Source organism: Homo sapiens, chromosome 4 (assembly GCF_000001405.40).
Source record: "Homo sapiens chromosome 4, GRCh38.p14 Primary Assembly".
Classification (NCBI taxonomy): Eukaryota; Metazoa; Chordata; class Mammalia; order Primates; family Hominidae; genus Homo; species Homo sapiens.
The window spans coordinates 49,283,016-49,296,711 of record NC_000004.12 but is presented as its reverse complement, the minus strand read 5'-3'; positions in this window follow the sequence as shown (position 1 = coordinate 49,296,711).

Below are 13,696 nucleotides of genomic sequence, written 5' to 3'. Positions count from 1 at the left end.
TTAAACGGAATTGCACAATAGGTGAGCTGTTATGACTGATATAACACGTAGCACAATATTTTCAAGATTCCTCCACATTGTAGGCTTACCCACATGGGGAAACCATATTTTTGGGGGGTTTTAGTAACACCGGGTGTTTTCTCCTTCCTTTCGTCCTTCTTTCCTTCCTTCCTTCCTTCTTTCCTTCCTTCCTTCCTTCCTACCTTCCTTCTTTCCTTCCTTCCTTCCTTCCTCCTATTTCTCTCTTACTCCTTCTGCCCTCTCACTTTCACATGCCTTAGGTGCATCCCACATTCTGCGTTTTCTTGGGGAAATCCTCGACAGGTGCAGGAAAATTGTGTTATTGTAACTATTTACCGCTATCTCTCTTTCACGGCTCTCCATCAGTTGTGAACATCTATTGGTTTATCGCAAGTCACTAAGCATATTTTTATTAGGTACACCTGTTTTTCCTTATACAGCTGTTTCTGGAGTATAGGGTCGCATACTCATAAACCCAGTGTAACTCAGAAACGCATCTAATATTCCAATAAACCCATCATAACGTTGAAAAATCATGAATCAAACCATCATAAGTCACGGTTTGTCCATGGATATGGGTGTCATCAATTCCATTGTATACAGTAATGCTGTACACCATTAACAATGGCAGACTGATTGGGAGTGCATATTGATAGCATTATAAAAGTCAGTTATTAGAGGGATACTTCTTTAACCTCACTGAAGAACTGATCTAATGGCTTTAGTACAGTGCATGATTATGTGAGATGTTTTGAGACAGAGTAGTACATTTGTGAATGAAATTTTATGGCTTTTTTTCACTTAGTAGGAACCATTGTGTGTGGAAAAGTGAGAAAATTGCTTTCTGCTGTAGAGTCTGGCATTCATTGTAGATTTAAGATTATTTTTCTGTGAGCAAATCTTATTCAATAAAATGCTACTCTTTATACTAAAAAACAAAAACAGTGGTGATGTGTGGTCATTATCCTCAGCAAACTAATCCAGGGAAAGAAAACCAAACGCCACATTCTCACTTATAATGGGAGCTGAAAAATGAGATCACATGGACACAGGAAGGGGAACAACACACACTGGGGCCTTTCGGGAGGCAGAGCGTTAAGAAAAACAGCTACTGCATGCTGGGCTTAATACCTAGGTGATGGGTTGACAGGTGCAGTAAACCACCATGGCACACGTTTACCTTAGTAACAAATCTGCCCATCCTGCACATATACCCCACAACTTAGAATCGAAACGAAACAAAAGAAAACGAAAAAGCAGTAGCAAAACGCTAAAGGCAAAATAAAGTTTCAAACTCAGAAAGTGACAGACCAATGTTTGGTTCAAATCATGGTTCTCAACCCAGGTGCCATAAGGTCAGGATAAGGAATTTGATTACATATTGTAAATAAGACATGCAGCAAATGACCAGAAAGATTATTCTCAACATATGTGTGTCTTCTAATTCAATGGTGACGCTATCTACCGGGACATAGCATTGGATTCCAAAGGGCCAAGTCCCGCCAGGCAGGCCTCCCACACTAGTAACAACGGGAAGCCCTACGTTGTTTTACCTGTGCTTCTCAGCAACTGGCTATAAATCAGGTTGCCACCACTCCCAGATTTAGTTGCATTCATTTGCTGGAAGAGCTCACGGCACTCGGGGAAAGACTTACATTTGCCGTTGTAATTTAGCGGACATTGCAAAAAGTTCAGAAATAAATGTGGGGCCCGGCATGTGGGGAGGGGCGCACTACCTTCCAGGAAGTGTTATCCAGAAGCTCTCTGATCCCAGTCCTTTTGGGTTTTTATGGAGACCTCATTCTATAGGCATGATGGGTTAAACCATAGGCTATTGGTGATCAACTCCACCTGAGGCTCTCAACCCTCCCTGGAAATTGGGGTTGAGGCTTTGCCATTCTCAGTCTGAATAAAAGAATTTACCCAAACGGAATTTTAAAACAGATGAGCACAACTGGAATCTTAATTAGATGATTGGATTATCTGGAGCCATACCTTGATATTCCGAACCCGAGCACCCTCATCCAACGAATGCTCCACCCAACTGGCTCCCAAGTCTCCACCTGCTTCCAGAGCAAAAGAATGTTTATACAACGCATATCTCCACCTTTTCTTCAAAGTCTTTTCGCTTACACGGAAAGACTTCTTAAACTGCCATGCATCAGGGTCAGGGGGAGATCTTGTTACAACACAGATCTCTGGATCTCCGGGGTTTGATTGTGGCAAGGATGCTGCTGGCGTCAAAACCACAACGTGGGAACCACAGAACCACTAGTTGGTTTTCAGTGTTTCAGTGCATACAATTCCTAATATATCTGGCCAAGAAAACTTGGAAGTTCTTAGATTGTTCCAAAGGTAGCGCATGAAATCAAAGTAGGAGAACAGTTTCCTACGAGGTGTAGCCTGGGAAAGTTGGGGGTGACTGACGGAAAGGAGGAGTGAAGCTCCGCCCTTTCCGCTGCTAGGTTGCGCCCGAGGCTATTTAAACCCACGCTGGCTGGCCTGTACTCAGATCTTCGCGGAGCGGATCAGCGGCCGGAGCGTTTGGCGGACTCTGCGTGGACTTGGAGCTCACGGCGTCTTGCGACTTGGAGGCGGATTCAGAGGACAGGACAGAACACTTGGGCAAGTGAATCTCTGTCTGTCTGTCTGTCTGTGTGTCTGTCTCATTGGTTGGTTGATTTCCATTTTCTTAAGGGGCATATACCTCACACCGCACACACACAGACACACACACACGCACACACACGCACACACTCACACACACGCACACACACTCCTTCCATCTGCGAGTTAGAAAATTAGTAGGGGCCCCTGGGAGCTGCAGGTTTCCTAATCATGTCTGCACCTAAGAACAGTAGGGTCTTGTCTGGCTCTTCTTATGAACGGTCCCCCAGCCCGGACTCCCCAAGGTCCATGCGAGCCTCACCCAGCTTCTCCTTCTCCCCTCTCAGAAACTCAGGCTTAATGGGAAGCTCCTCACCAGGGATCCGGAGCTACCATTCACCATCCCCTAGGGCTTCACCACACTCACCTCTGTCATCACCAGAATCCCACAAGCTCCCATTTCCCTGTCCTCACCATGATGGGCAATCAATGAAGCCATCGGGCTCTCCTCTGTCCTCCTCTGAGGATTCCTCAGAGTCCCCAGGTTCATCAATAATATACCACATGTTCTTACTGCCATCACCCAGCAGCTCACCCCCAGCTCTCGGGGGGTCTCCTGTGTCTCCCAGCTACTCTCCAAACAACCCCAGATTTCAGCTGGAGTCAGCCCCCCACACCCGGGAATCACCTACAAACTCACGAGCCTCACGGTGCTCCACCCTTGTGTCTTTCATCTCTTCACCCCCAGGCCTCAGGGACTCTCCTGTGGCTCCCAGTTACTCTCCAGCCATCCCCAGGTTCCTGCGGGAGTCAGCCCCATGCACCCAGGAGTCGCCCAGAGACTCACACGTCTCGGGAGAATATGAGCGGTCCCCCAGCCCTGACTCCTCAAGATTCATGCCTGCCTCACCCAGCTTCTCCCTCTCCCCTCCCAGAAACTCAGACCCAAGGGGCAGCTCCTCACCAGGGATGTGGAAGAACTCTACATCATCCCGCAGGGCTTCACCAGTCTCACATCCATCATCAACAGAATTCCACAGCTTTACGTTTCCCTTTCCTAACCAAGCAGGACAGTCACTCATGTCATTGTGTTCTCCCATGTCCTCCTCTGGAGATTCTTCACAGTCACCTCATTCATCAATAATATACCATATGTTCTTACTGCCATCATCCAGCAGCTCACCCCCAGCCACCCATGACTCTCCTGTCTGTCCCAGCTACTCTCCAACCACGCCCACATTTCAGCGGCTGTCTGTACCCCACACCCCAGCAACACCTACAAACTCACAGACCTCAGTGAGATCCTGGCCAGATTCTCTCACGTCTTCACCCCCAGCCCTTACGGACCCTCCAGTCTGTCCCAGCTACTCTCCAACCACGCCCACATTTCAGCGCGGGTCGGTTCCGGGAACCCAGGGATCACCGCCAAGCCCACCACTTTCACTGAGTTACTCCCCAGTCTCTAGCACGTCTTTATCTCCAACCCTCAGGGACTCGCCTGTCTGTCCCAGCTACTCTCCAAACACGCCCACACTTCAGCCGGAGTCCGTTGCAGGCACCCAGAAATCACCACCAAACTCACCAATTTCACTGCGTTACTCCCCAGTCTCTCTCATGTCTTCACCATCCCTCAGGGACTCTCCCGTCTGTCCCAGCTACTCTCCAACCACGCCCACATTGCAGCTGGAGTCAGTTCCAGGCACCCCGGAATCACCACCAAACTCACCTGTTTCACTCAGTTACTCCTCAGTCTCTAGCACGTCTTTATCTCCAACCCTCAGGGACTCTCCTGTGTGTCCCAGCTACTCTCCAACCACGCCCACACTTCAGCGGGAGTCAGTTCCAGGCACCCAGGAATCACCACCAAACTCACCAATTTCACTCAATTACTCTCCAGTCTCTCTCATGTCTTCACCAGCCCTCAGGGACTCTCCTGTGTGTCCCAGATACTCTCCAACCATGCCCAGATTTCAGCGGGAGTCAGTTCCAGGCACCCAGGTATCACCTACAAACTCAGCAGTTTCACTGAGTTACTCCCCAGTCTCTCTCATGTCTTCACCCCCAGCCCCCTGGGACTCTCCTGTCTGTCCCAGCTACTCCCCCACCACGCCCAGATTTCAGCGGGAGTCAGCCTCCCACACTCCAGAATCACCTACGGACTCACAGACTTCACTGAGGTCCTCCCTGGTCTCTCTCAGGTCTTTGCCCTCAGCCCACAGGGACTCTTGTGTCTCTTTCAGCTACTCTCAAAACTTCTCTAGATTCCAGCTGGAGTCAGTTCCAGGCACCCACGATACACCACCGAACTCACGAATTTCACTGACTTACTCCCCAGTCTCCCTCATGTTCTCACCCCCAGCCCTCAGGGACTCTTCTGTCTCTCTCAGCTACTCTCCAACCATCTCCAGATTTCACGTGGAGTCAGCTTCACGCACCCAGGAATCACCTACAAACTCACGGACCTTACTGCAACCCTCCCCCATTTCTTTCACCTCTTCACCCCCTGCCTTCAGGGACTCTCCTGGGTCTCCCAGCTTCTCTCCAGCCTTCCCCAGATTTCTGCCACAGTCAGCCCCAGGCACCCAGGACAACCCTAGACACTCACGGGCCACACGAGACTATCTCCCTATGACCTGTACCTATACAGGGATGGCTCCCACGCATCCCTCAGTGACCCCAAACCCATCTCCACTTACACTCAGACACTCCCAGGGCCTGACAGCTACTCCCTGTTATTGTCCTTCAGTTCGAAGCCCTGGCCAATCTACTAGCCCACATGACGCAGTTACCTGGCCATTACTCCACGGTTCCCGTGAGGGCCCCACACCCAGCCTCACAAGAGACCCTCCTGCATTCCGTCCTCACACGCAGGCCTGTCCATCTACTTGCTACTGTCACACTCTTGCCAGCAGAAGAGGCCCCTGTCATGGCCGATATCACCACCCAGTCTATCCTCACCCCACAGCTGTGCAGCGGGACCCTCCTGCTGGCCCACGTGGCTGCCAGAGCCCATGCTGGCAAGACGCTCCAGCAGGTCGGCGTCCCTGCGGGACACACTGCCGGTGACATGGCTAGCATCACCCTCCTTCCTGGCAGTGACACTGTTGATGTGAACCCCAGTTTCACATCTGTCATTTGTAAATAGGACCATTTCCCCTTTTCGCTCTCCCTTCCATTCACAGGGCTTTTCATTCTCTCTGTTTCTGCCTCCGTTTCAGATATTTACTCACCTTTTTCTCTCTCACTATGTCTGCCGTGGTCTCCATGAGAGTGCGCCACATAAGATTCCCCCATTAAAAGTCATGAATTGAGTGGCTTTTAGTATACCTGTGGTTGTGCACATTCAATTTTAATTCGCAATCCATTGTAGAACGTCTTATCACCCCCGACCAGAGAAAAACCTGTAGACATTAGTCACTCCTCATTCTGTCTCAAACCCTCTCCCTGACCCTCAGCCCTAGGTAGCAACTACCTAGTGCGACCAACCCCATATGTATAGATTTCCACATTGTGGACATTTCCTATAAACAGAATTGCACAATAGGTGAGCTGTTATGACTGACATAACACGTAGCACAATATTTTCAAGATTCATCCACATTGTAGGCTTACACACAGGGGGAAACCATATTTTGGGGGGGGTTTGGTAACACCGGGTGTTTTATCCTTCCTTTCGTCCTTCTTTCCTTCCTTCCTTCCTTCCTTCCTTCCTTCCTTCCTTCCTTCCTACCTTCCTTCTTTCCTTCCTTCCTTCCTTCCTCCTATTTCTCTCTTACTCCTTCTGCCCTCTCTCTTTCATATGCCTTAGGTGCATCACACGTTCTGCGTTTTTTTGGGGAAATCCTCGACAGGTGCAGGAAAATTGTGTTATTGTAACTATTTACCGCTATCTCTCTTTCACGGCTCTCCATCAGTTGTGAACATCTATTGGTTTATCCCAAGTCACTAAGCATATTTTTATTAGGTACACCTGTTTTTCCTTATACAGCTGTTTCTGGAGTATAGGGTCGCATACTCATAAACCCAGTGTAACTCAGAACCGCATCTCATATTCCAATAAACCCATCATAACGTTGAAAAATCATGAATCAAACCATCATAAGTCACGGTTTGTCCGTGGATATGGGTGTCATCAATTCCATTGTATACAGTAATGCTGTACACCATTAACAATGGCATACTGATTGGGAGTGGATATTGATAGCATTATAAAATTCAGTTATTAGAGGGATACTTCTTTAACCTCACTGAAGAACTGATCTAATGGCTTTAGTGCAGTGCATGATTATGTGAGATGTTTTGAGACAGATTAGTACATTTGTGAATGACATTTTATGGCTTTTTTTCACTTAGTAGGAACCATTGTGTGTGGAAAAGTGAGAAAATTGCTTTCTGCTGTAGAGTCTGGCATTCATTGTAGATTTAAGCTTATTTTTCTGTGAGCAAATCTTATTCAATAAAATGCTACTCTTTATACTAAAAAACAAAAACAGTGGTGACGTGTGGTCATTACCCTCAGCAAACTAATCCAGGGAAAGAAAACCAAACGCCACATTCTCACTTATAATGGGAGCTGAAGAATGAGATCACATGGACACAGGAAGAAGAACAACACACACTGGGGCCTTTCGGGAGGCGGAGCCTTAAGGAAAACAGCTACTGCATGCTTGGCTTAATACCTAGGTGATGGGTTGACAGGTGCAGCAAACCACCATGGCACACGTTTACCTTAGTAACAAATCTGTCCATCCTGCACATATACCCCAGAACTTAGAAACGAAACGAAACAAAAGAAAACGAAAAAGCAATAGCAAAACGCTAAAGGCAAAATAAAGTTTCAAACTCAGAAAGTGACAGACCAATGTTTGGTTCAAATCATGGTTCTCAACCCAGGTGCCATAAGGTCAGGATAAACAATTTGATTACATATTGTAAATAAGACATGCAGCAAATGACCAGAAAGATTATTCTCAACATATGTGTGTCTTCTAATTCAATGGTGACGCTATCTACCGGGACATAGCATTAGATTCCAAAGGGCCGAGTCCCGCCAGGCAGGCCTCCAACACTAATAACAACGGGAAGCCCTACGTTGTTTTACCTGCGCTTCTCAGCAACTGGCTATAAATCAGGTTGCCACCACTCTCAGATTCAGTTGCATTCATTTGCTGGAAGAGCTCACAGCACTCAGGGAAGCACTTACATTTGCCGTTGTATTTTAGCGGACATTGCAAAAAGTTCAGAAATAAATGTGGGGCCCGGCATGTGGGGAGGGGCGCACTACCTTCCAGGAAGTGTTATCCAGAACCTCTCTGAACCCAGTCCTTTTGGGTTTTTATGGAGACCTCATTCTATAGGCATGATGGGTTAAACCATAGGCTATTGGTGATCAACTCCACCTGAGGCTCTCAACCCTCCCTGGAAATTGGGGTTGAGGCTTTGCCATTCTCAATCTGAATAAAAGAATTTACCCAAACGGAATTTTAAAACAGATGAGCACAACTGGAATCTTAATTAGATGATTGGATTATCTGGAGCCACACCTTGATATTCCGAACCCGAGCACCCTCATCCAACGAATGCTCCACCCAACTGGCTCCCAAGTCTCCACGTGGTTCCAGAGCAAAAGAATGTTTATACAACGCATATCTCCACCTTTTGTTCAAAGTCTTTTCGCTTACACGGAAAGACTTCTTAAACTGCCATGCATCAGGGTCAGGGGGAGGTCTTGTTACAACACAGATCTGTGGATCTCCGGGGTTTGATTGTGGCAAGGATGCTGCTGGCGTCAAAACCACAACGTGGGAACCACAGAACCACTAGTTGGTTTTCAGTGTTTCAGTGCATACAATTCCTAACATATCTGGCCCAGAAAACTTGGAAGTTCTTAAATTGTTCCAAAGGTGGCGCATGAAATCAATGTAGGAGAACAGTTTCCTAAGAGGTGTAGCCTGGGAAAGTTGGGGGTGACTGACGGAAAGGAGGAGTGAAGCTCCGCCCTTTCCGCTGCTAGGTTGCGCCCGAGGCTATTTAAACCCACCCTGGCTGGCCTGTACTCAGATCTTCGTGGAGCGGATCAGCGGCCGGAGCCTTTGGCGGACTCTGCGTGGACTTGGAGCTCACGGCGTCTTGCGACTTGGAGGCGGATTCAGAGGACAGGACAGAACACTTGGGCAAGTGAATCTCTGTCTGTCTGTCTGTCTGTCTGTCTGTGTCTCTGTCCCAATGGTTGGTTGATTTCCATTTTCTTAAGGGGCACATACCTCACACCGCACACACACAGACACACACACACGCACACACACGCACACACTCACACACACGCACACACACTCCTTCCTTCTGCGAGTTAGAAAATTAGTAGGGGCCCCTGGGAGCTGCAGGTTTCCTAATCATGTCTGCTCCTAAGAACAGTAGGGTCTTGTCTGGCTCTTCTTATGAACGGTCCCCCAGCCTGGACTCCCCAAGGTCCATGCGAGCCTCTCCCAGCTTCTCCCTCTCCACTCTCAGAATCTCAGGCTTAATGGGAAGCTCCTCACCAGGGATCCGGAGTTACCATTCACCATCCCCTAGGGCTTCACCACACTCACCTCTGTCATCATCAGAATCCCACAAGCTCCCATTTCCCTGTCCTCACCGTGATGGGCAATCAATGAAGCCATCGGGCTCTCCTGTGTCCTCCTCTGAGGATTCCTCAGAGTCCCCACGTTCATCAATAATATACCACATGTTCTTACTGCCATCACCCAGCAGCTCACCCCCAGTTCTCGGGGGGTCTCCTGTGTCTCCCAGCTACTCTCCAAACAACCCCAGATTTCAGCTGGAGTCAGCCCCCCACACCCAGGAATCACCTACAAACTCACGAGCCTCACGGTGCTCCACCCCTGTGTCTTTCATCTCTTCACCCCCAGGCCTCAGGGACTCTCCTGTGGCTCCCAGTTACTCTCCAGCCATCCCCCGGTTCCTGCGGGAGTCAGCCCCATGCACTCAGGAGTCCCCCAGAGACTCACAGGTCTCGGGAGAATATGAGCGGTCCCCCAGCCCTGACTCCTCAAGATTCTTGCCTGCCTCACCCAGCTTCTCCCTCTCCCCTCCCAGAAACTCAGACCCAAGGAGCAGCTCCTCACCAGGGATGTGGAAGTACTCTACATCATCCCGCAGGGCTTCACCACTCTCACATCCATCATCAACAGAATTCCACAGCTTTACGTTTCCCTTTCCTAACCAAGCAGGACAGTCACTCATGCCATTGTGTTCTCCCGTGTCCTCCTCTGGAGATTCTTCACAGTCACCTCATTCATCAATAATATACCATATGTTCTTACTGCCATCATCCAGCAGCTCACCCCCAGCCACCCATGACTCTCCTGTCTGTCCCAGCTACTCTCCAACCACGCCCACATTTCAGCGGGAGTCTGTACCCCACACCCCAGAAACACCTACAAACTCACAGACCTCAGTGAGATCCTGGCCAGTCTCTCTCACGTCTTCACCCCCAGCCCTTACGGACCCTCCAGTCTGTCCCAGCTACTCTCCAACCACGCCCACATTTCAGCGCGGGTCAGTTCCAGGAACCCAGGGATCACCGCCAAGCCCACCACTTTCACTGAGTTACTCCCCAGTCTCTAGCACGTCTTTATCTCCAACCCTCAGGGACTCGCCTGTCTGTCCCAGCTACTCTCCAAACACGCCCACACTTCAGTGGGAGTCCGTTGCAGGCACCCAGAAATCACCACCAAACTCACCAATTTCACTGCGTTACTCCCCAGTCTCTCTCATGTCTTCACCATCCCTCAGGGACTCTCCCATCTGTCCCAGCTACTCTCCAACCACGCCCACATTGCAGCTGGAGTCAGTTCCAGGCACCCCGGAATCACCACCAAACTCACCTATTTCACTCAGTTACACCTCAGTCTCTAGCACGTCTTTATCTTCAACCCTCAGGGACTCTCCTGTGTGTCCCAGCTACTCTCCAACCATGCCCAGATTTCGGCGGGCGTCAGTCCCAGGCACCCATGTATCACCTACAAACTCAACAGTTTCACTGAGTTACTCCCCAGTCTCTCTCATGTCTTCACCCCCAGCCCCCTGGGACTCTCCTGTCTGTCCCAGCTACTCCCCCACCACGCCCAGATTTCAGCGGGAGTCAGCCTCCCACACTCCAGAATCACCTACGGACTCACAGACTTCACTGAAGTCCTCCCTGGTCTCTCTCAGGTCTTTGCCCTCAGCCCACAGGGACTCTCGTGTCTCTTTCAGCTACTCTCAAAACTTCTCTAGATTCCAGCTGGAGTCAGTTCCAGGCACCCACGATACACCACCGAACTCACGAATTTCACTGACTTACACCCCAGTCTCCCTCATGTTCTCACCCCCAGCCCTCAGGGACTCTTCTGTCTCTCTCAGCTACTCTCCAAACATCTCCAGATTTCACCTGGAGTCAGCTTCCCGCACCCAGGAATCACCTACAAACTCACGGACCTTACTGCAACCCTCCACCATTTCTTTCACCTCTTCACCCCCTGCCTTCAGGGACTCTCCTGGGTCTCCCAGCTTCTCTCCAGCCTTCCCCAGATTTCTGCCACAGTCAGCCCCAGGCACCCAGGATAACCCTAGAAACTCACAGGCCACACGAGACTATCTCCCTATGACCTGTACCTATACAGGGATGGCTCCCACGCATCCCTCAGTGACCCCAAACCCATCTCCACTTACACTCAGACACTCCGAGGGCCTGACAGCTACTCCCCGTTATTGTCCTTCAGTACGAAGCCCTGGCCAGTCTAGTAGCCCACATGACGCAGTTACCTGGCCATTACTCCACGGTTCCCGTGAGGGCCCCACACCCAGCCGCACAAGACCCGCTCCTGCATTCCGTCCTCACACGCAGGCCTGTCCACCTACTTGCTACTGTCACACTCTTGCCAGCAGAAGAGGCCCCTGTCATTTCCGATATCACCACCCAGTCTATCCTCACCCCACAGCTGTGCAGCGGGACCCTCCTGCTGGCCCACGTGGCTGCCAGAGCCCATGCTGGCAAGACGCTCCAGCAAGTCGGCGTCCCTGCGGGACACACTACCGGTGACATGGCTAGCATCACCCTCCTTCCTGGCAGTGACACTGTTGATGTGAACCCCAGTTTCACATCTGTCATTTGTAAATGGACCATTTTCCCTTTTCGCTCTCCCTTCCATTCACAGGGCTTTTCATTCTCTCTGTTTCTGCCTCCGTTTCAGATATTTACTCACCTTTTTCTCTCTCACTATGTCTGCCGTGGTCTCCATGAGAGTGCGCCACATAAGATTCCCCCATTAAAAGTCATGAATTGAGTGGCTTTTAGTATACCAGTGGTTGTGCACATTCAATTTTAATTAGCAATCCGTTGTAGAACGTCTTATCACCCCCGACCAGAGAAAAACCCTGTAGGCATTAGTCACTCCTCATTCTGTCTCAAACCCTCTCCCTGACCCTCAGCCCTAGGTAGCAACTACCTAGTGCGATCAACCCCATATGCATAGATTTCCATATTGTGGACATGTCCTATAAACAGAATTGCACAATAGGTGAGCTGTTATGACTGACATAACACGTAGCACAATATTTTCAAGATTCATCCACATTGTAGGCTTACCCACAGGGGAAAACCATATTTTTGGGGGGTTTTAGTAACACCGGGTGTTTTATCCTTCCTTTCGTCCTTCTTTCCTTCCTTCCTTCCTTCCTTCCTTCCTTCCTTCCTTCCTACCTTCCTTCTTTCCTTCCTTCCTTCCTTCCTCCTATTACTCTCTTACTCCTTCTGCCCTCTCTCTTTCATATGCCTTAGGTGCATCACACATTCTGCGTTTTTTTGGGGAAATCCTCGACAGGTGCAGGAAAATTGTGTTATTGTAACTATTTACCGCTATCTCTCTTTCACGGCTCTCCATCAGTTGTGAACATCTATTGGTTTATCCCAAGTCACTAAGCATATTTTTATTAGGTACACCTGTTTTTCCTTATACAGCTGTTTCTGGAGTATAGGGTCGCATACTCATAAACCCAGTGTAACTCAGAACCGCATCTCATATTCCAATAAACCCATCATAACGTTGAAAAATCATGAATCAAACCATCATAAGTCACGGTTTGTCCGTGGATATGGGTGTCATCAATTCCATTGTATACAGTAATGCTGTACACCATTAACAATGGCATACTGATTGGGAGTGGATATTGATAGCATTATAAAAGTCAGTTATTAGAGGGATACTTCTTTAACCTCACTGAAGAACTGATCTAATGGCTTTAGTGCAGTGCATGATTATGTGAGATGTTTTGAGACAGATTAGTACATTTGTGAATGAAATTTTATGGCTTTTTTTCACTTAGTAGGAACCATTGTGTGTGGAAAAGTGAGAAAATTGCTTTCTGCTGTAGAGTCTGGCATTCATTGTAGATTTAAGCCTATTTTTCTGTGAGCAAATCTTATTCAATAAAATGCTACTCTATACTAAAAAACAAAAACAGAGGTGACGTGTGGTCATTATCCTCAGCAAACTAATCCAGGGAAAGAAAACCAAACGCCACATTCTCACTTATAATGGGAGCTGAAGAATGAGATCACATGGACACAGGAAGGGGAACAACACACACTGGGGCCTTTCGGGAGGCGGAGCCTTAAGGAAAACAGCTACTGCATGCTTGGCTTAATACCTAGGTGATGGGTTGACAGGTGCAGCAAACCACCATGGCACACGTTTACCTTAGTAACAAATCTGCCCATCCTGCACATACACCCCAGAACTTAGAAACGAAACGAAACAAAAGAAAACGAAAAAGCAATAGCAAAACGCTAAAGGCAAAATAAAGTTTCAAACTCAGAAAGTGACAGACCAATGTTTGGTTCAAATCATGGTTCTCAACCCAGGTGCCATAAGGTCAGGATAAAGAATTTGATTACATATTGTAAATAAGACATGCAGCAAATGACCAGAAAGATTATTCTCAACATATGTGTGTCTTCTAATTCAATGGTGACGCTATCTACCGGGACATAGCATTAGATTCCAAAGGGCCGAGTCCCGCCAGG